The sequence below is a fragment of the Homo sapiens genome, chromosome 18, assembly GCF_000001405.40.
Source record: "Homo sapiens chromosome 18, GRCh38.p14 Primary Assembly".
NCBI classification, from domain to species: Eukaryota; Metazoa; Chordata; class Mammalia; order Primates; family Hominidae; genus Homo; species Homo sapiens.
In genome coordinates this window covers 25,670,408-25,691,031 of record NC_000018.10, presented here as the reverse complement: position 1 = coordinate 25,691,031, position 20,624 = coordinate 25,670,408, and the positions used below count along the sequence as shown (strand labels likewise).

At 37.8% G+C, this 20,624-nt stretch overlaps 1 annotated feature.

The window, feature by feature from the left end:
* Positions 15,061-15,689: an enhancer, noted in NCBI's record as "OCT4-NANOG-H3K27ac hESC enhancer chr18:23255307-23255935 (GRCh37/hg19 assembly coordinates)". NCBI's record gives its function as "activates a minimal SCP1, AML or CMV promoter by ChIP-STARR-seq in primed H9 embryonic stem cells {active_cell/tissue: H9 hESC(primed)}" and the evidence as "EXISTENCE:reporter gene assay evidence [ECO:0000049][PMID:30033119]".

Genomic DNA, 20,624 nt, shown 5'->3' with positions numbered 1-20,624 from the left:
CTCAAGGCCTTTAACCTTAATCCCATATGCAAAGTCCCTTTTGCCATGCATGTAAGAAAACATATTCACAGGTCCTGGAGACTTGTGGATATCTTTGGGTGGGCCATTATTTGCCTACCACACTGCTAAAAAAAAAAAAAAAAGAAAAATACTTAATTATATTTCTACATAAAAGTCACAATTGAAGGCAAAATTTTAAAAATGTACAATAGCAAAAGTAGTTAAAAGGTACCTTTCCATTACTTGATAGAATAAATCTACCAAAAACTGTGCAGGACTCATATGCAGAAAACTCACAATGATGTCAGTTTTTTCCAAACTGAAAATGCCAACATGTATTCTAATACTTATATGAATGCATACAAAAGGACCAAATAGGCAAGGCACTTCTGGAAAACAGTAAGTTAGATGAATTTATCCTGCTAGATGGTGATTGTCTCTTATTACAAGCTATATTAAGATAGTATGGAAATGGTGTAGAGGTAAATGAATTGACCAATGAAGCAAAAGAAAGAGCCCAGGGACAATTTTGTCCAATGGAATAAAATAGGGAGTCCAGAAACAGGCTCATGGAAACTTGATATAGGATAGAGGTGGCATTGCAGATCATTGGTACTTGAGGCTTAGGATAAAATTCTATCCACACATTTAAACAGTATTATATTTCTCAATTTATACCTGAAGGCAACATTGAAAGGTAGATAATACCAAGAATGTGGGGAGATGGGACCCCTTGGCACTGCTCGTGATCATGTTAACTAGTGCGACCATCTGGAAAGTAAACTGGTTATATTTCAGCTTCCTAAGGAACCTGTATGGGGACGTGTATTGTAGCATTGTTTGCTAGAGTCAGGAGACCGGGCAGGCTGTGCTTCCATCACTGAGAGAATGAATAAGCAATGTGGAATAGGGCTGAGGGTTGCCAAATGTACCAGATACCATACAGGAGGCCCAGTTAAGTTTCAATTTTAGAAAGATAATAATGTTTTAATGCAAGTGTGTCCCAAGTATTTAAATTTTTTTTTAAATTTCACTTTTATTTTAGATTCAGAGGGTACATGTGCAGATTTGTTGCATGGGTATATCGCATTATACTGAGGTTTGGGGTATGAATGATCCCATCACCCAGGTAGTGAGCACAGTGCACAATAGGTAGTGATATGGTTTGGCTGAGTCCCCATCCAAATCTCATCTTGAATTATCGTTCCCATAATCCCCACGTGTCCTGGGAGGGACTAGGTGGAGATAATTGAATCATGGGGGCAGTCTCCCCCATACTGTTCTAGTGATAATGAGTAAGTTTTCATGAGATCTGATGGTTTTATAAGGGTCTTTCCTCTTCACTTGGCTCTTAATTCTTCTCCTTGCTGCCACCATGTGAAGAAGGATGTGTTTTCTTCCCCTTCTGCCATGATTGTAAGTTTCCTGAGGCCTTCTCAGCCATGCCAAACTGTGAGTCACTTAAACCTTTTTCGTTTATAAATTACCCAGTCTTGACTATGTCTTTATTAGCAGTGAGAATGGACTGATACAGGTAGTTTTTCACCTTTTCCCTGCTTTCCTCTCTTCCCCCTTTAGTAGTGTCTATTGTTCCTATCTTTATGTCTATGTGTACTCAATGTTTATATCCCACTAATAAGGGAGAACATTTGGTATTTGGTTTTCTGTTCCTGTGTTAATTCCCTTATGCCCCAAATATTGCACATCTGAATCATTTGTTGTTTATCTGAAATTCAAATTCAATTAGGCATCCTATATTTTATCTGACAACCTTAGTAAGGGCATATTGAGGAATCTGAACAACTAGATGTTTGAGGAGTTAGGAGGAAACCCTAGATGTTTTATAGCAACATAAATGGATCTGCAAGACCAAATATTGAGTGACGAAACATCAGCCACAAAGAGAAATTTTGTAGTGTAACACTATCTGATTGAAAACACAAACCCACAACAATACTACTTTCCCAAGAATAAATAAATATTGAAGGACACATATTAAACACACTAGTGTGGACGCCAGTGGGAAGGAGAAGAATGTGCTGGGATTAAGAGTGAAGGGGAAAAATAAAGCCAAGAGAAGGGCCTTGTGCAGAATGATGATGATAGAGTAAGAAACAAGGAAAATGATTAACCTATCTTTTTTTACCTGAGTTCAAAGAAAATAATTTAAAAGGACCATAGCACATGCAACTTAGATGGACATAAACATTATGTGCTCTGAAGAACTGTCAGTAACCTCAAAAAGTGGCTTCAATTACGATGCTGGCACTGACGTCAAAAATGCACGTGAAGGGTTTGAACACAATAATTTTGTGATATGTCAATGTGGGAAATAACCAATATTTCTAAGCTAACAACTTTATTTTCTATTGTAGACAATTGTAAATATGTATGGATAAATTAATAAATACTAAGAGCAGACATTTGAATGTTTTATATACATTCCTAAAATAATATATATTCAAATTGGCCCAACCTTTTTTAAGAGAAAATTCTCATTGGGAAAATGGAAAATGGGAGACTACTCTTTATTCAGTGTCATCTAGTGTTTGGACACAGAGAATATTTACAAGGGTGGCTAAATAGCAGACAAATAGTAGGCACCCAGTCCATTGTTGCCTGTTCAGTACAATCAGGACGTGTTTATGTCTTAGCTGATGCCTTAACCAACATTGCTTTCATGATGTGAACGTGGCATTAATTTGAATGAGAAATCCTAAATAGCAAATTTATCACTATCAATTCAAAGAAGATAATATTCTGTTTATATAAATAACCATGTTTTAAAGCCTATACAATGTTAACCATTTATAACAAATTTAACATGGTTTTCAAAATGTGCTGAGAATGATAAGTCCTGGTATTGGAGGATGGAAAGTTGGTGGTTATAAATGGTTTTCTTTTGAGTGAAGAGTGCCTAATTTTTGTCTGTTCTGCTTGAAAGCCTGTTGAATTCTTTTGCAAGGGAGAGAAAAGTCATGGTGGAGAGTATGAGGGATTTGAAGCACTTGAATCAGGAGGACACGCATGATATGGCTGGAACTGGTCTCATTTCTGATGACATCAAAGGAAAGTCTTGAATCCTCCATTGGAAACTGCCCTGGAGCCTGGGGGTCTCTCCAAGCTCTATCACCCAGAGAATGGGTTCCCATGTAAGCAACTATGTAGTAACTTGAGGCATGTTCACTCCCAAAACAGCTTTGAATGTTTTATGATTTGTCAACAGCTAAGACATAGAGAGGAAGTGCTCTCTCTCTCTCTGAGACAAGGTCTCACTCTATTGCTCAGACTGGGGTGCAGTGCAGTGGCACCATCATGGCTCACTACAACCTCAAACTCCTGGGCTCAAGCAAGCCTCTTGCCTCAGCCTCTCAAGTAGCTGGAACTATAGGTACATGCCACCACACCTGGCTAATTTTTTAAATTTTTTATAGAGGCAGAGTTAAACTATGTTTCCCAGGCTGGTCTTGAACTTCTGGCCTCAAGGGATCCTTCTGCCTTGGCCTCCCAACGAGTTGGGATTTACAGTCATGAGCCACCATGCCTGGCCCTCTTTTTCTAATGTAAATCAGTATGTTTGTTTATCCTGTCATTTAACTAAATCAGGAACTTGATATTTTTTTGTCCAAGGAAGATAGGAAAAAACGCAACCATAACGTTATTTATCTTCTGACACAACATTGCTTTGGAATTTGTGAAAACATCCATTTTGTGTTATTCTTTCCTCCTTTTATTTTCAAAAATAGCATACCTTGTATGAATTTTATTTGATAACATCAAAATTAATCAGCCTACTATTCTCTTTCATAGTGTAATTTGATATTACCAGTGTAACTTGAGCATCTGTCTCAAAGATCTTTTCAGTAAATCTGCCAAAGTAGGTTCTTCTCAGCGTTGTTATCACAGTGAAAAACTGTAAGCAATCTAATTGCCCAACCATTGAGGAATGGCACATCTGTACAATACAATATTATGAAATATACCCCATAGGATAAAAATTGCTCCTTAAACACAATTTTTAATGGCACAACAAATATTTATGACATATGTTTCTGTGAAAAATATAGAATAAAAACCTGTACATAAAATACTATCTCAACTAGCAAGTATCTCTGGATGGTGGGATTAGAGGTCATTTTTACTTAACAGGTAGTTTTGTATATTTTCTAAGTTTTCTGCAATGAGTTTGTATTACTCAAATTACTATTATTATTATTATCATTTGAGACAGAATCTCACTCACTCTGTTGCCCAGGCTAGAGTACAGTGGCGTAATCTTGGCTCACTGCAAACTCTGCCTCCCGTGTTCAAGAGATTCTCTTGCCTCAGCCTCCCAAGTAGCTGGGATTACAGGCGTTCGCCACCACACCCAGCTGATTTTTTTATTTTTAATAGAGATGGGGTTTCGCCATGTTGGCAGGGCTGGTCTCGAACTCCTGACCTCAGGTGATCCACCCGCCTCGGCCTCCCAAATGCTGGGATTACAGGTGTGAACCACCATGCCTGGCCAAATTATTTTTTTAATGTTAAAAAAAATACCCACTCAAACCCAGAACAATGAAGCAGTTTTGACAGGTCCCCTTTACTGTACACGTTCAAACTTGTTAAAGTGGGTTAATGTGTTGATTGAGAGTGATTAAGCATACAACTGACTATAACACTGTCAACACAGCAGTTAAATCTTGTAAAAGTGTAGGTAATTGGCTTACATATACCAAATTACTTCAGAACAATTTCAGAAATGCTAAAAAATTTTGACTATATATATTTTTGAGATAGAGTCTTACTCTATCGCCCAAGCTGGAGTGCAGTGGTGTGATCTCGGCTCACTGCAGCCTTCACCTTCCAGGTTCAAGCAATTCTCCTGCCTCAGCCTCCCAAGTAGCTGGGACTACAGGCACTCACTGCCACACCCGGCTAATTTTTGTATTTTTAGTAGAGACGGGGTTTCACCATGTTGGCCAGGATGGTCTTGATCTCCTGACCTTGTGATCTGCCCACCTCGGCCTCCTGAGATTACAGGCATGAGCCACCGTGCCCGGCCCAATTTTGACTATATTTTAAATGGAATGCATATGCAAGGCTGTGTGAAGTCTTTAAGAAAATGAAAACTTAAGTGTTCCTAATATAAATGTGCCCGTAGTTCAGTATCTCAACCATCATTTAAATACAGGCCCTTACCTTGCTCCTAGTTATTAAAAATTTTAGTATTGTGAATTCTAATATGCTTAATTGACTTTTGAAAGACCTTTATGATTTAATAAACTAAAGAGGGCTGATAAAAACCAATATAAATTCAAGCTTTCAGAAATGAGCTATTTATTCAAAAATGGTACATATCGAAATAAACTCTGTTAGAGAAACAGAAAGCAATGTTTGTTTTGCTCCTACAAAGGGGAAGGTCATTATAAATTGTTAAGTCACAGATCATACAACTTAGGAGCTATAAAACACCTTGTAGATCCTCTAATCCTGTGGTTGCAACCTCACTACCTGCAGGTTTGAAGACTGTATGTATTTTATTTACTCAGAGTTTGTTTTTGTTTTAAATTCAGGCAACATTTAATATCCAGAGATTTAACATACAAATCCAGGCCTCACTGCCCTGGACCCAACCTTCTTGGTCCCTAAAGTAGAGTGGGCAGCCCCTGAGTTTGCAGCAGAGCTCACATGCACTTACCCTGCACTCCTTACTCATAGCCTAAGACAGAGAGTATGGGACTCCTGCCTGCATCCAGCTCTTTGCCTCCTTAGGTGCCTCCAACTCACTCACCTTATCCTGCTGTGAAAGACAGTCGCAATCCGTGCTCCTTCCTGCCTCCCCACCTTCGCTCAGTAGTTTCCACTGTCTGTTGGTGGTGCACCCTGTTTCCACCCCAGCTAGTTAATTCTTACTCATGTTTTTGAGTTCAATTCACCAAAAACGCCTTTCCTCAGCCCTTTGCTTGGGTCCAGTTACCTACTTACTCTCATAGCATGGTCCTCTGTTTTATTGTAATGAAAAGTAAATAATGAATGGTTTTATATATATCTTTCCTGCTAGAATGGGAGCTCTAAAAAGGCAGGGACCGAATCTTGTGTGTTACCTATACATAGTAAGTGATCAATACATATTCACTGAATGAGTGTATTCTTGCACTGAACTGGTGAGGAGCAGAAGGCAGAAGGGTAAAGGGCTGGGGGAGAGGCCCAGGAAGCCTGGGACAGAACCCACAGGCAGGCTCAAGGCAGGCAAAGGGAGGTCTCCAGCTCTCAGGACCCTTCACAAACCATGTGCTCTTTCTCAAATTCCCCTCTGTCTGGATTTGATATCTCTTCCTTATAATCCCACCCCACCTGCTTTGGTTTTTCCTTGACATCCAGCCATCTTTGGGTTCCATTTTTTGCTTTTCTCCTTGAGTGATAACAGCTGGGACTGCAAGCTCACTATGTCCTCCAAATGGGACCAGAGTCCAGACTTTCAGAATTTCAGTTCCCTTTCCTGAACCTCACTGCCTTTTGGCCACCTTTGGTGACCTTAAGAATCAACTAGCAAAGCAAGAAATTATATAACAAAGCAAGTTCTGAATCCTAAATAGTAGCTTTGTCATTTCAAGTATTACTTAATTCAGGCAAACCCAAAACATCCAGAATGCCTTGGAGAGGGTAGCAATGATTTGTATCAATTTCTGCAGTTAATACTAATAATGCTTATTGTATTGCTTATACAAAAGTACTTGCAACTCCACAAGTATTCTTTATGAAAAATTCATTTTAACATTGTCTTCATAATGACATGACAGGAGGAAACACAGGCATCATGCGTGTCCATGTTTGAGAAGAAATATATTTTTTAAACATTTAGGGTGCAGTTATTTAAAAGGCATAAAAAGTTGGATTCCTAACTCATATCATAGCTCAAAACAAATTCAAGATGGAATAAACATTTAAATAAAACAACGAGAACAATAAACAACTATTAACCCAGAAGTTGGAAAGACAAATCTGATTAAATAAAAAAACTGAATAATGTCTAAATAGAAACAAAATACCATAAGCAAGAATAAAAGTAAAACCTGAGGAAAATTTTTGCAAAACACATGACAGGGGGTGAATTTTCTTAATTCACAGAGTACTCTTAAAAATCAACCAGCATGTGGTGATAGAAAGGAAAGTAACAGGTAATTCACAGAAAAGAAAACGCAAATAGCAATACATATATAAAATATGCTGAACTAAATAGAAATTAGAGATAGAGACAGTTCCTTGGAAAAATATGAAGAACAATGCCTGGTATTCAAGAGGGTGTGGAGAAACAAGCACACTCACGTTTTTGGTAGGTATGTAAATTAGCACATGTTTTGGGAGAACAATTTGCCTTTGATACATACATATAAAAGCTTAAAATTCACATGTGTCTTTATCAGTAAATTCTACTTCTAGGTATTTCTTTGACTGGTATAATCAGAACCAGGCAGAGAAGTCTTATAAAATTGTTCATTGCAGAATAATTTATAATAGCAAAAATTGAAAAAAACCAAATGTTCACCTTTGGAGGATTAGTTAAATCAATTAGGCAGCCTATAACCATAAGCTAGTAAACAAATACTATTAGCCATTAAAAATAATAAAATATGTATTGACTTGAAAAGCTATCCATAATATGTAGTTAAATGAAAAAACTAGATTTGTATTTTTGTAGTGTGATTTAACCTACCTAAAGAAAAAAAGTAGACATGAATGTTTGAATATGCAAAGAAAATATCCGAAGGCCATAAACCAAACCAAAAGCTACCTCTGAAGTATGGTACTGATGGAAGAAACAGGGACTTTTGCTTTCAATTTATATAACTTTGTATTAAAAAAAATCATGATTTATCCTTTCCTGCCAAAAAATCACTGTATTTAAACAAAAAGTTAACAACAAAACACATTTAGGTTATAAGCTATTACAGTGCATGAATACTGTACAATCCATTCAACAATTTAATTCAGTATTTTTTGAATGATCACTAATTCTCAAGAACCATGCTGGGAAGTTTGCATAACAACAACAAAAAGTGAACTATTGCCCCACTGTCACTGAGTGAACAGCTTAGTAGCTGCATGTTAATCTCATCAATACAAATATTATTTAGCGTAATAATTCGGGAGCCCACCAAGCATTGTGCTGGCACAAAGGATGAAATGATGAACTCCACTTGAACAATTGGGGTTTCACATAGAAAATGTTTGCCTTGCATCATAAGAGTATTCGTTCTAGGACTTGATTTTACCCTACTTACACTTTAACAAATTGGTCTAAAATTTGTTCATGGATGCTGGCAGAAGACATAAGACTCCTGGGTCAGAAACAAAGGACTTCATTACCCACTGCAGAGCAAGCAACATGAGTATCAGCATGTACATCAATTTCCCTGTCTCCTAAGTTCACTGGGGCAAAATCATGGGCCCGGATGGGCTTCCATTGCAGCTGAGGAATGTTGAACTTGGGGAATCTATTGTTTTATAATAAGCAATAAACAAGCTTGCTTGTTGCCCCTGAGGGAGACATTACCTTGTCTCTGAAGGTTACTCACTGCAAACACAACCCTGAGAAATGGACCAAGTAAAGGGTGGTCAGGAATTTGTATTCTGGGAATACTCAGCAAAAGGTGTAGGGGGATGAGAAATTGATCAGCAAGTATCTCCTAAGAAAGAGTGAGCAGGAGAAAGCCCTCTTGAAGGGGTAGGCACATGAGACTGGCCCTATAGGAGGAAGAGTGAAAATGAGAAGGCAGGCAACATAGCAAGAAATGGACCTGAATAGGGAAGCAAGGACCACATTCTGGCATTCTCTGAAGACTCAGCTTTGCCCTGTATAGGTTGGAAAGCCACCAAAGGTTTTTTGTTTGTTTTATTTCATTTGATTGAACTATACAAGATTGCTGGTTTTGTAGGTCAGGAACAATTGAATAATGATAATTTCATATCTCTCAACCTAATTTCACTAATGCAGGTTGGAAGATGAATGAGGAAACAGGTACAGGGAAAGATGATTCATTTCTTTATCTCTATTTTAGCACAGTGATGCCTGATGAATATTATAGTGACTCGATGTCTACTGAATGAATGAATGAATATGGAGGATTGTTTTCTAGAAAAACATGAATATTGTGGTTAGTTTTCAATTCTCTTGAGGATCATTGAAGCCATGAAGATGAAAACCTGACATACGGAGTTTATATTGTTTCGAATTAATTGAATCAACCCATGAAATGTGTGTCACACTTTTGGAAACTGAGACTCTGGAGAGTGTGTTAAATATAGTAGCTAATCCTGTGAACTCTGGCACCAAATGGTCTTGAATTTATATTTCAGCTATTTCTAGTAATATAATCTTTCAGTGCCACAGTTTTTTCATCTGTAAAATGAGGCTGATGATTTACCCTCCTTTTGGGGCTATGAGGATTACATGAAACATCCTATGTAATGCAGTTAGAACAGTCTTTGGGATTATTAATATACTGTTATTATCAATGAAGATTGGTTGAGACTGGTGAGAAATAAAAGTTGCCCCAAATACCCAGTGGAAGGCCTATGGAAATGAGGTCACAATGTTGAATCACTCAGGGTGTGAGAGTAGGACAATTAAGGGTTAGATTTTGTGTACTTGTGTGTGGGTATTGAAGTAGCTTCCCTCTCTAAGAGGGGCCAGTGTGCCTCAGTCAGCTGAAATGGATTAGACCAGAAGGATTAACAAATAGGGAGAAAAGAAAATGTTAGAGTTTCAGCAGGATTGCCAAACTCTGTGTGTACAGCTGACTCTGGAACCATGCTGGGGTGCTCTCCCAGCACTCACACTTTCAAAAATCCACACATAACATTTGAGTCCCCAGAAACGTAACTACGAATAGCCTACCATTGACTGGAAGACTTATAATATCATAAAGAGTAAATTAACACATATTTTGTATGTTATATGTATTATATACTGTATTTGTACATTAAAGTAAGCTTGAGAGGAGAAAATGTTATATAGAAAATCATAAGGAAAAGAAAATGTATTTACTATTTATTAAGTGGAAGTGGATCATCACAAAGGTCTTCATCCTCATGGTCTTCCTGTAGAGGAGGAAGAGGGAAAAGAGGAGGGATTGGTCTTGCTGTCTTAGGGGTGGCAGAGCTAGAAGAAAATCCCCCTGTAAGTGGACCTGTGCAGTTCAACCTCAAGGATTAACCGTACAGATTTCATCTGTTCCTTAGCTTTCTTTTGGATCTTTCCATCTCGAAGGGGCTGGGTAATTGCAGCTTAGCTCGGCTTCCTCGAGGCCTTCAGGGGTGAGTACTCCAAACTGAAGAGCACACAGTTTTCACATTTCAGAGTTATGATCTAATTATGTTATTTTTCATGTTCAGAGCAAAACGACATTGATCTTTTAAAGTCTACTCAATCAAAGCAAAGTAGAAGTTTAGGTGTGTGCTGGGCCAACAATTTAGATAATTCAGGCTGCAGCATTTTCTATGGCCTGAATTATGGAGCAGAGCTGTCTACATAGCCCTAAATTCATCAGATGCCACCTAATCCTTCACTTGGCTTTGTCCATTGGGTATTTATTCCTTGCTGATTGACTATATTCTCTTATTTTATGGTTTATCTTATAAGATTATTGCTTAATATTTGCATTTGCCAGTCAGCTTCAGCACTTCAGACCATCCCTTGTCAACCCAACATATTTATTCAATTTGCCCCTTTCTGGGATGAATATTTAGTTATGCTTTCCTGCCCACACAGCTAACTCTTTTACTTATTCCTTGATCCTCTCTGGTGATGGTTATTGTACTTCCCAATTCACTTCACATACTTCCCAGGGTTTGTATGAAGGTTCAGTTTAAAAATATTTCTTTCTATGTGCACCACAGTTTGTAAATACTTACATTCTTAACTTGAGTTTGTATGAAGGAGGCTAAGGGATAAAGCCCAGCCCCGCCAAAGTAAATGCACCAACAAATTTGATGGCCACAGTATGCTTTTTGTGCACACTGCATTTTGGTGCATCCATAGGAAGTCAGCAAATTGTTGCCCCTTTACTGTAGAATCCTTTGCAACCAGATGAAAATGGAGGTCTTTAGGCTGAGTAAAAACAAAGAACATAACCTGAGGCAAGTCACAAAGAAGCAATTTCACAGCCATAGAAATTCTAGCTGAGGCCAAAAGGGATGATTTCTAAGGCTTAGCATGGTTATTGGCCTCTTGCAATGTTAATGGCATGCTTAAAAGCCAGTAGCAAAAAAAGAGGGTAATGTCACTTTAACCAAAGGAGTAAGGCTGACAGGCTGAGCGCTGGCCAAGTGTAAAGTAGAAAGCCTAGCAAAGAATAATTGAAGCCCCTGCGAAATATTTCAATTTTTTTATTGATTGAAGGTAATTATCCCTTAATTGCATATTTAAATGAGGTATTAGGAGGTTTAACTAAGCAATGCCTCTTAATTGCTGCTGCACACTAGGTGTCACAGATTGTGTTTATTTCATATGTTAATTAAAGAGAAAGGGGTATTTTATTTTATTGACTACAAGGTTCTCTAAAGCTGTGTTGTTTAGGACAAAGTACATCTCAGGTGTTTATCGCACGCTGGGTATTAATATCATCATTAGTGAGAGGTTAAAGTTTTTTAATGAAGAGGTGCATCTCCATTTTATGTGTTTTCAGCCACACAGGCGTCTCTAAAATGGGGGAGGTAGAAAAGCCCCCAAATCCCACAGAAACAATTATCTTTATGAAAGAAATATTGAGCCCCTTCCTCAACAATAATAAAGCAGAGTGCAAGTTCTGGTATAAACAGGAAAAACAACTCCAAATTATTAAAGAATTAGGATTGTTACATGAAGCCCTGATGGCCTGTGGGTGCTATGTTTGTATTATGAGCAGCAGTGGTCCATGTATTAATTTGCAAGTTGCTGCATGATTCTGTGATAGCAAAGGGCATTACTGCATGTTAACAGAGTAGGTAGAGATCCTTTATAAAAACCCACATCTCCCCTTGAAACAATATAAGATGCTTAATGAGAAAGCTGTTTGTAGGCCCCTGTATTTGGAGGAGGTTTAATAGCCTATGGTACTGAATGGGGCAGTAAGAAAGGATTAAGCATCACTTTCTAGACTGCTTTATTTTTACATGGTATAATGCAATGATCATAATTTTAAAAAATAAAGTTAGTATTCACAGCTGTCTCAGACTGACCCATCTGGCTCCTCAGACAGGAAGGAGACTGCAGAGCACATCAAATAGAAGAGGGCACATAGAAGGGTTGTTAGGAGCCGCTTTAAACTCTGCAATCTATTATGGTAAGAGTAAAAATTTATAGCAAATAATAGCAAAAATATCATTCAATTGATTTTCTTTCCCTGTCTCAGAAAAACAGATCCAAGAAAGGAATATTTAATATTTCTATGGCTGATTCATCTATTCATTCACCTAACAAATATTGACTTTCTTCCTAGACAGCGGTCAGAAGTGGGAATACAGTGATGGGTAAAATACACAAGGCCCCTTCTTTTGTGGTACTTATGGTTTCTCAGACACAGGAACGTGAAACAACCACACAGATCACTCCATTGTTCCCAACAGTGAAGGGTCAGTGCAGGGAGCTAAAAAGCTTCTAATGGGAAGGTTGACCTCATCTGGAGTGGTGGGCGGGTAAGAAGAAGTGATACTCCTATGTTTAGACTGAGGCTTAAAGAACTTGGGGTTGTGGGTGGCTTATTAAGACATTCTAATGCCATTTTGAAACCAAGTTATTTCCTTCAAAAACCCTCGGTGACAATTATATTATTTATTAGGTTTTATATAGATTTTAATGATTTTCCTCAATCAGTAGGAATAACACTGTGTGCTTTATTGAAATGCTTTCGTAGCTATCTGAATCTAGAACTGATAAAAAATTTAACCAAAAGTTATTTTCTACATTTTCTATAGACTATAGATGTTGTTTGTATCTTTCTCTCATAAATAGTCTGTGAACAAATAAAATTCAAGCAGTTGAAAAGGTTCAAGCAATTGGAGAAGGAAAATTCTGTAGGAGAAAACTCCTGTCTTGCCTTTAAGAAAAATTTTTGGACTGGTAAAAAGCTTTGTGTTATGAAGGATAGTTCCAATTTACAGGCTCATGAGCTTATGAGTGGTATTTGCTTCAATCCTTATCTTTATGTTACAGCTATGGCACCCACATATGATAAGTCTTCACTGGCAGAATTTTGAAAAAGTAATTCCAATGCAGTGAATATAAAAAGTGCTATCAAGGAAAAATATTTTTTCTTCCCTGGAATAGAAACCATTATTTAAGCTGTTAGATGCCTCAGGGTTCTATTCATACAAAATCCATCCCTGCAGTCAAAACATATTCTTTTCTAAAGATTTCATATATATGTGTATGTTTGTGGATATGTACTTTATGCATGTGCGTGTGTGTATGTGTGTGTAGGTACATATATTTCTGTGATGGAGACCATGGCTTTCCCAAATATTCATAAAGAAGAGATAATTATTTTTCTATGTGCAGGTTTGGTAGGGTTGTATATGCTCAAATGAAAATAAGTATAATAATTTTTCAGTTATTTTGAAGTAGACCGATTTGCACTCGGAGACTAATTTGGGGTTAGGCAGCTGGAAGAGACTCTGTGCAGATTTTTACCCCCAATAGAATGCTACACATTCACAAAGACTAAACTGAAGCTCAGAAGAAAACCGTGTAGCATAATTGGTGATCTCTCTTTTTTCATAAAGAACAGGCTAGGATGGTTTATTTTTAAAAAGACAAAAAAAAGGTCAAAGTGGCAGGAAAAATAATTCAGGTAGGTCTTCCCAACTGAAAGGAATCATCTATTAGGAGGTGAGAAACAGATCAATATCAGTTTTCTAGCTTCAGCTTTGGTGGTAGATATAGGTTTTGTTATGCTTATTCAATTTGGGGGCCTTTTTATAAAAATAATACATAAGCATTTTACTTCTGCAAAATGTATAAAAATATATGTGATTTCATGAGCACACTGCTGGGGTCCCTGTCAGGGCCTTGGAGGAAGCACTGAAGGCCTTGAGGCTGAGCCTCACCGCTTTCATGGCAGAGTCACCTCCGTTCTGCTTATCTCTGTACACAAAAGAATGCTCAAGTGTTTAGTATAGGCTTAAATTTAGGTTTACATTTTTAGCATCTGAATTTTAGGAAAAGTTTCTTAGGGGAATAAAATGAAGGTGCTAAAGTGTGTGCTATAGGAGATTAAAATGATACAATATTAAGCAGGACCCAAATCTTGGAGAATGACATTTTAGTGTTCACTAAAGAATTTACATTACAACTCAGAATGTCCATAACATTAATGATGTAACAGTTACCGATACAAATCCAAATGATGAACAAATCTGACACCTTAAGGATGTTCTTTAGTAATAAGTTGAAGGAAAAGGCATATTTTGAATATGTGGCACTTCATACACTCCATTCTAAAAGGATCTTGGATATTGTCAACTGTCTTTTTTGGCAATTTTGGAAACTGAATAAACCCAAACTGAGCTTAGGTATAATTGGCTGCACAACCTACAATCTCAAGGATCTTCTTTTAGAGAGAGCTGGAACCTGACTCCTGGCTTGGTGGGGCAATCAGAAGCCGGCAGCATATTCAGGGGACAGAGTGGATTACTAACCCACACATAGGCAACTTGGAAAGGAGATTCTATTGTGTGTGGTCCCTGAAGTGGGTAAGCCTACAAGAATCCCCAGTTGTCAACTAATAGCCATGAAGTAATGGACAGGTAATCAACATGTTTTGTGATGTCAGGACTTCCATTCTTAAGGGCAAGGACATGCCATAAACTAAAAGAGGTCAGTTTTCCATGTTAAGACTTGCATGGCCCAACGAATGAATGAAAGCATGCATTCATTCATCCCCTGGGAATACAGGGGTGAGCAAAACAGGTAAGGTTCCTTTCTTTATGAATCAAATATAAATACTAACAAGTATTGAATAATAAGCTGTGACAAATGCCACAAAAGAAAAGTGCCAGGTGCTATGAGAGTATTTAACAGGGAGACCTAGTTGAATCTGTTGTTGTTGTTGTTTTTGTTTTTAAAATTTTTGTGTTTCTGGTGGGCCCTTTAAGTTCAATTTTTTAGTATCTTCCTCCCCTGGGCCATCAAAAAAGGCATCAGATTAGAGATCCTCAGGGTCTTGCTCAATTTATGCCCTGAGAGCACAGGTACACTTAGAGACTTGAGCTAGAAATGTCCTGGGAATTGAGGCTTTTATAGAGATTCTGAGCAGTTTGAGGTTTAGCTACATCAGAGCTACCGTAGGCTAGCTGTCTGGGAGCTTTGCAAGAGAAAGGAGATCAGCAGTTAGAGGAATTGACCCCAAGGGACAAGGCATTGTTCTGGAAGTCCGGTATTTCCAGTCTGAAAACAGGTGTATGTGGAAAACGCCTGTTAGAGAAATACATCCTCTGGATGTTTTCACTCCTCAGAAGAGTTTCAACTAGCAATTGGGGCCATGATCTGGACAGTCTGAATGAGGTTTTTGTTTGTTTGTTTGTTTTTTGTTTTGCTTTTTTCCTCTGGACATTAGCTCCCTGAAAGTAAGCTCTGAGAATCAGAAGTAGAAAACCCTGACCACTGAAAGTGAATTGCTTTGGGGCCTTGAGCCATTCGCACTCATTTAAAGGAGTTTCTTTCTGTTTTGAAGCGTTGTCATCCACAGTGTGTTGGCTTTTGTCCCCAGAGAAGCAAAATGGCTGCTGCAGAGGCAGGCACCGCTCCTTACACAAGGGCAGCAGGAGGCTGGTGAAAGGCATTTCATTAGAATGTGTGCTGTTTGAGGGCAGGGCTTTGAGGGTCTGGTTCATTGCTGTGTGTCCAGCGCACAGTTCCTGGCACGTGGTAGGCCCTTACTATTTATCTGTGAAATGAATGACTGAATAGGTTACTCTTTCGTTTGGTACTATTTCCTCTTGAAACAAAACTTTTAGAACCCAGAGGGTGGCAGCCCTTCCTGCCAAGAGCAGTATAATGATTCTAATGATGTTCTCAATGTCCAGCTCAGGAATCGATGCTTCCATCAGCCATATTACTCACTAAGCCCTCCACTTCCTGATACTTTTTAAGAATGGTTGTTTATTTAAGAAACTGTTGCTATGTAAGCAAAGGAAGGATTGATATTTATTAATAACTAACAGTAATATGCTGAATTTCAATTAAAGGTGAATGGCAGAAACAGGGAGAAAATACAGTGCTCTAAAATATAGTCCAATGTAGGAGAAGTTTTGGTGAATGAGATGGAAATGTTAATCAAATGTCTGGCTTACTTAATTAAATTAGCATTGTGGTTAAGAACACGGACTCAGTTTTAAGAGATCAGTTGATGCATAGAACCTTTAAAATGTTGCAGAGACCATGGTCCAGGGGTGGGGGTTATATTGCATATCCAATTATATGCAATATTATATATAACATCTAGTGGCACTGTATTTTAAATATGCAGTTTCTAAATTTAAAATTACATTTTTAAATGGAATGGTTACTTAGCTTTCACATTGTGATTTTTAAACATTTTATCAGAGCACTGGAATGCTCTTCTGTGTGCAGATGAAATTGGCCATCTTTCATGTTTCATTCACTGAAAATAAATATTAATATTTTATATTAATAATTTATTTAGTGTTAATTAAATAACTAGTTTTTAAAAACATGTCAAATAATTAGGGAAAATGCAAATCAAAATCACAATGAGATCCCACTTTACACCCCCCTAAAATGGCTAAAATAAAAAAGAACAAGCATTGGCAAGAATGTGAAGAAATTGGAGCCCTCAGACATTCCTGCTAGTGGGAATGTAAAATAGCGCAGCCACTTTGGAAAGTAGTTTGGCACTTCATTAAAATGTTAAATGTACATTTACCATGTGACCCAGCAATTCTGCTCCTAGCCATATACACAAGAGAAATGCAAACATAAAAGCGTAAATAAAAGTTCATAGCAGCACTATTCACAATAGCCAAAAAGTGAAAGCAACTCAAATATCCATCAGCTGATGAATAGATACATTAAATGTGGTATATCCATACAATGTAATATTATTTGACCATAGCAAGGAATGAAGTTTCAATGCATGCTACGCCATGGATGAACCTTGAAAACATTATGCTGAGTGAAAAAAGCAATCACAAAAGGCCACATATGGTATGATTTCATTTATATGAAATGATCAGAATAGTCAAATCCATAGAGACAGAAAGTAGATTAGTGGTCGCCAGAGGCTGGGGGTGATCGGGGAGTGACAAATAATGGATTTGGGTTTCTTTTTCAGAGGGTGAAAATGTTCTATCCTTAGTTAGTGGTGATGGTTGCATAACTCTGTGAATATACTGAAAAACATTAAATTATGCACTTTCAAGAAATGAATTTTATGTTATGTGATAGTAAAACTATTATTAAAAAGATGCTTACAATTCTTGACTGTTTCTAGAGTGTGAGCTTGTCTTAAACTGGGAATAAAAAAGATTTGGGAGACTTTTCACTCCATTTTTCCCTCATTCCTAATCTCTGCTGTTCACGTCCTATGGTTGAAGGAAGGAGAGAGAGAAAATGAGAAAACTAAACAAGAAGAAAATATGGCATGATTCTGGAGAATGTCTCACTGTTTTAGAAGAAAGTGACTGAAATTATATAACAGCAATAAAGAATTCAAGGTATATTTCAACTATACCCAAAATCTCATTATGATGGCTTCCTTTGGCATGGAGAAAAATATCATAATTCTTTTTTAAAACACAAAATGAAAACAAGCTTTACTAGTATTTAGAATATCTACTTACATGAAATTTATAAATATACATGTGTCAAGGGTCCATGCTTACAAACTTCTTCTTCATAAACGTGCACAACAAAAAAATTAATGAAAAGTTTGGAGACCATTATCTTAGTCCATGACATTGTTGGAAACAGTAGCCTTTCAAGATTCAAGGGCAGAGACTGGGCAGAGACTTGGCAATCCGACGGCCCCAATTCAAACTCAGCCCATGCTCTGTAACTTTAAGTTATGTGCTTCCGGAAGCCTATAATCAGTCAGTGTCCAATCAGGAAAATACCAAGTAGTTCAACAGAGGGAATGCAATGTGGGGAACTACGTACAAGGGTGTTAGAGGGGCTAAAAGTTCAGTAGGAAATAGTGAGGCAGCACCAAGATTTGTACTACTAGTACTAGAGGGAGAAAAGGATGAGAGAGAGTGATAACAGGGACGAGGATGGAGTGGGAGAGTGAGGACCCTGGAAGGGAGGGACTGTCCAGCAAGAGCTGGAACCACTGAGAAACAGCCCCTTTGAGAGAAAGTGCGCCACCCAGGGGAGGGAGGTGAAATACCCTGATTCCTGCCTTGCTGCTGTCCGCGCCTGCCAGTGCCTATCATTGGCTGACCCCACCCAGAAGCCCCTGGCAGAGGAGGCAGGGAAGTTAAGTTTACTGGGCTCAGTCTCCCTGCAAAATGAAGCAAGCAGTGTGCATGAATGAGCACATGAAGTTTCCTCCTCTTTAAGAGAAGAATAATAAAGTGTGAACGTCGTAGGATTATTGACCAGACTAAATGAGATCATGAGAAACCCTTAGGACAGTCAGGCACACTGTAAAGTGCTCAAGAAGTATTAGCTAATATTTCACAGTGTGACTTTAGATAGGGACACTCAGCATACTGGAAATCAACATTTTTGCTATTCTAAAATATCATTGCTTCATTAAAGAAATATTAGTCACATAATTAGATGACTTTAGTAAAATTATTTTACAATATTGATGTTGAAAGACAATTTAACACTGATATTTTAGGTTAATTGTGTAATATGGCAAAACAGGATGACCAATAATTAAGTAAGTGGAGTAGTGCAGAGTGTGGACTGGGGAGCCAGGAGACCAGAGGTTTGTCCTAGCTCATCGGTAACAACCTGTTTGACCTTGGACTCCAGCCCTCAGAGGCTTTATCAGTGAAATCAGCAGCCTAGACTAGATGATTGCTGATTTTCTCCTGACATTGCTATTCTCTGACTGATATTCACCTTTAAGGCATATGGTGCATAGAGAGTGTTTTCAATGCACTTTCTCCTTTAAGGCCTCGTGTTATCCTTCCATAAATCCAGGAGGTAGGAGGGGCAGGGGAGCACCACTCTTCATATTTCACAGGTGGGAGATAGGATGTAATTTGTCCAAACTACACAACAACTCAATGGCTGAAGTAGAGCTGGACTCCAAGCCTCTTCCTGTTCTAACACCCAAGGTATTTGAATAGTTGTCAGGGACTGAAGAAGAATGAACGGTGCACCCATGGAGTCAGACCATTTTTTGCCCATGTGACTAAACAAATGGTCCATTTACATATTATATGATGATTCAGAATGTGGCAGTCTTGGAATGTGACATTCATGTGAACATTAATGATGACACTAGATATTTAGCCCATATATAGGTGATACCCATTGTTGCTGTTGTTAAATGTGCTTTCCAGAAGGAATTGCATAGAGCGCAGAAGGCCATTATCAATTTCTTTAATGATAAGGACATTGACTACTCGCTTGTTTCTTTCCTCTATTACTGTTTATCATTCACATAAGGGCAGATGTCACTGTAAAATTGTTCAAGGTGGCTTTCTTTTTCATGAAAAAAGATCAGAAAGCTGACTTCTTTATACCCACATACAAGTCAAATACAGCACATGCAAGCAACCTAACATTAAAAGGCAATACAATAGCATGTCAATTGTATCAAACTTAAAGTAGTTAGAATTAATTTAATTCATATTCAATCCAGTAAAAACAAATTGCTTATCCAATAGCAAATAATTTAGATTCTAAAGTAAAAAGGTCACCCCATCTGTCTATTAACTGCCTCCAGAATTGATGTTAATTATTATGATCATCAGTGAGGCATGATCAATGCACAGTGTTTAATCCTGTGCTGGGCCCAGAACAAAGCTTAGCCTCTGCTCCATTAAATGAGGCTTTTTTTTTTCTCTCAACAGGAACTTATTGAAGTCAGAACAGTTGAGCTATAACTTATACCCTTGGATTTTCCTTCTTTTTAGGATAGTTCTTGTTCAAAGATAAAGTAAGGCATATTAAAATTTTAAATACTTTATTTGCGCAGACAGCAATTCATGAATCTGGCAACTTCAGACTGCAAGCATTTGGGCATTCTACTGAAGGGGCAGAGGGAAAGGATTTTATAGGGTGAATGTGGAAGCAATGTAAATAATCCCTGAGTTAGAGGCTAGTTGATGGTTTCTGATTGGCCTAGAGGATGGCTGTTTCACTGAGGTGGTTTCCAGTTTGCTTGTGTAGGAACTCAGGGCTCTGAAGCTACCCCAGTCTAATGGCCTCCAAAATAATTACTTAATGATTTTTCCTTAAGAGAGATAGGCTATGTTTGTTTTGCAGCAGTAGATTCAAGAAAAATATTCTTTCATATTTATCGCTACTGAATGCAATTGATATTACATATTATGCATCCCATACAATAAGATAAAAATTACTTGATTTGGGTACTTGAACCAAATTCAAGTTCTAATTACATATGGATTATCATTAACATTCTTTTTATGCAAATATAAAAGTAACACCATCTTGGTATTTTTTT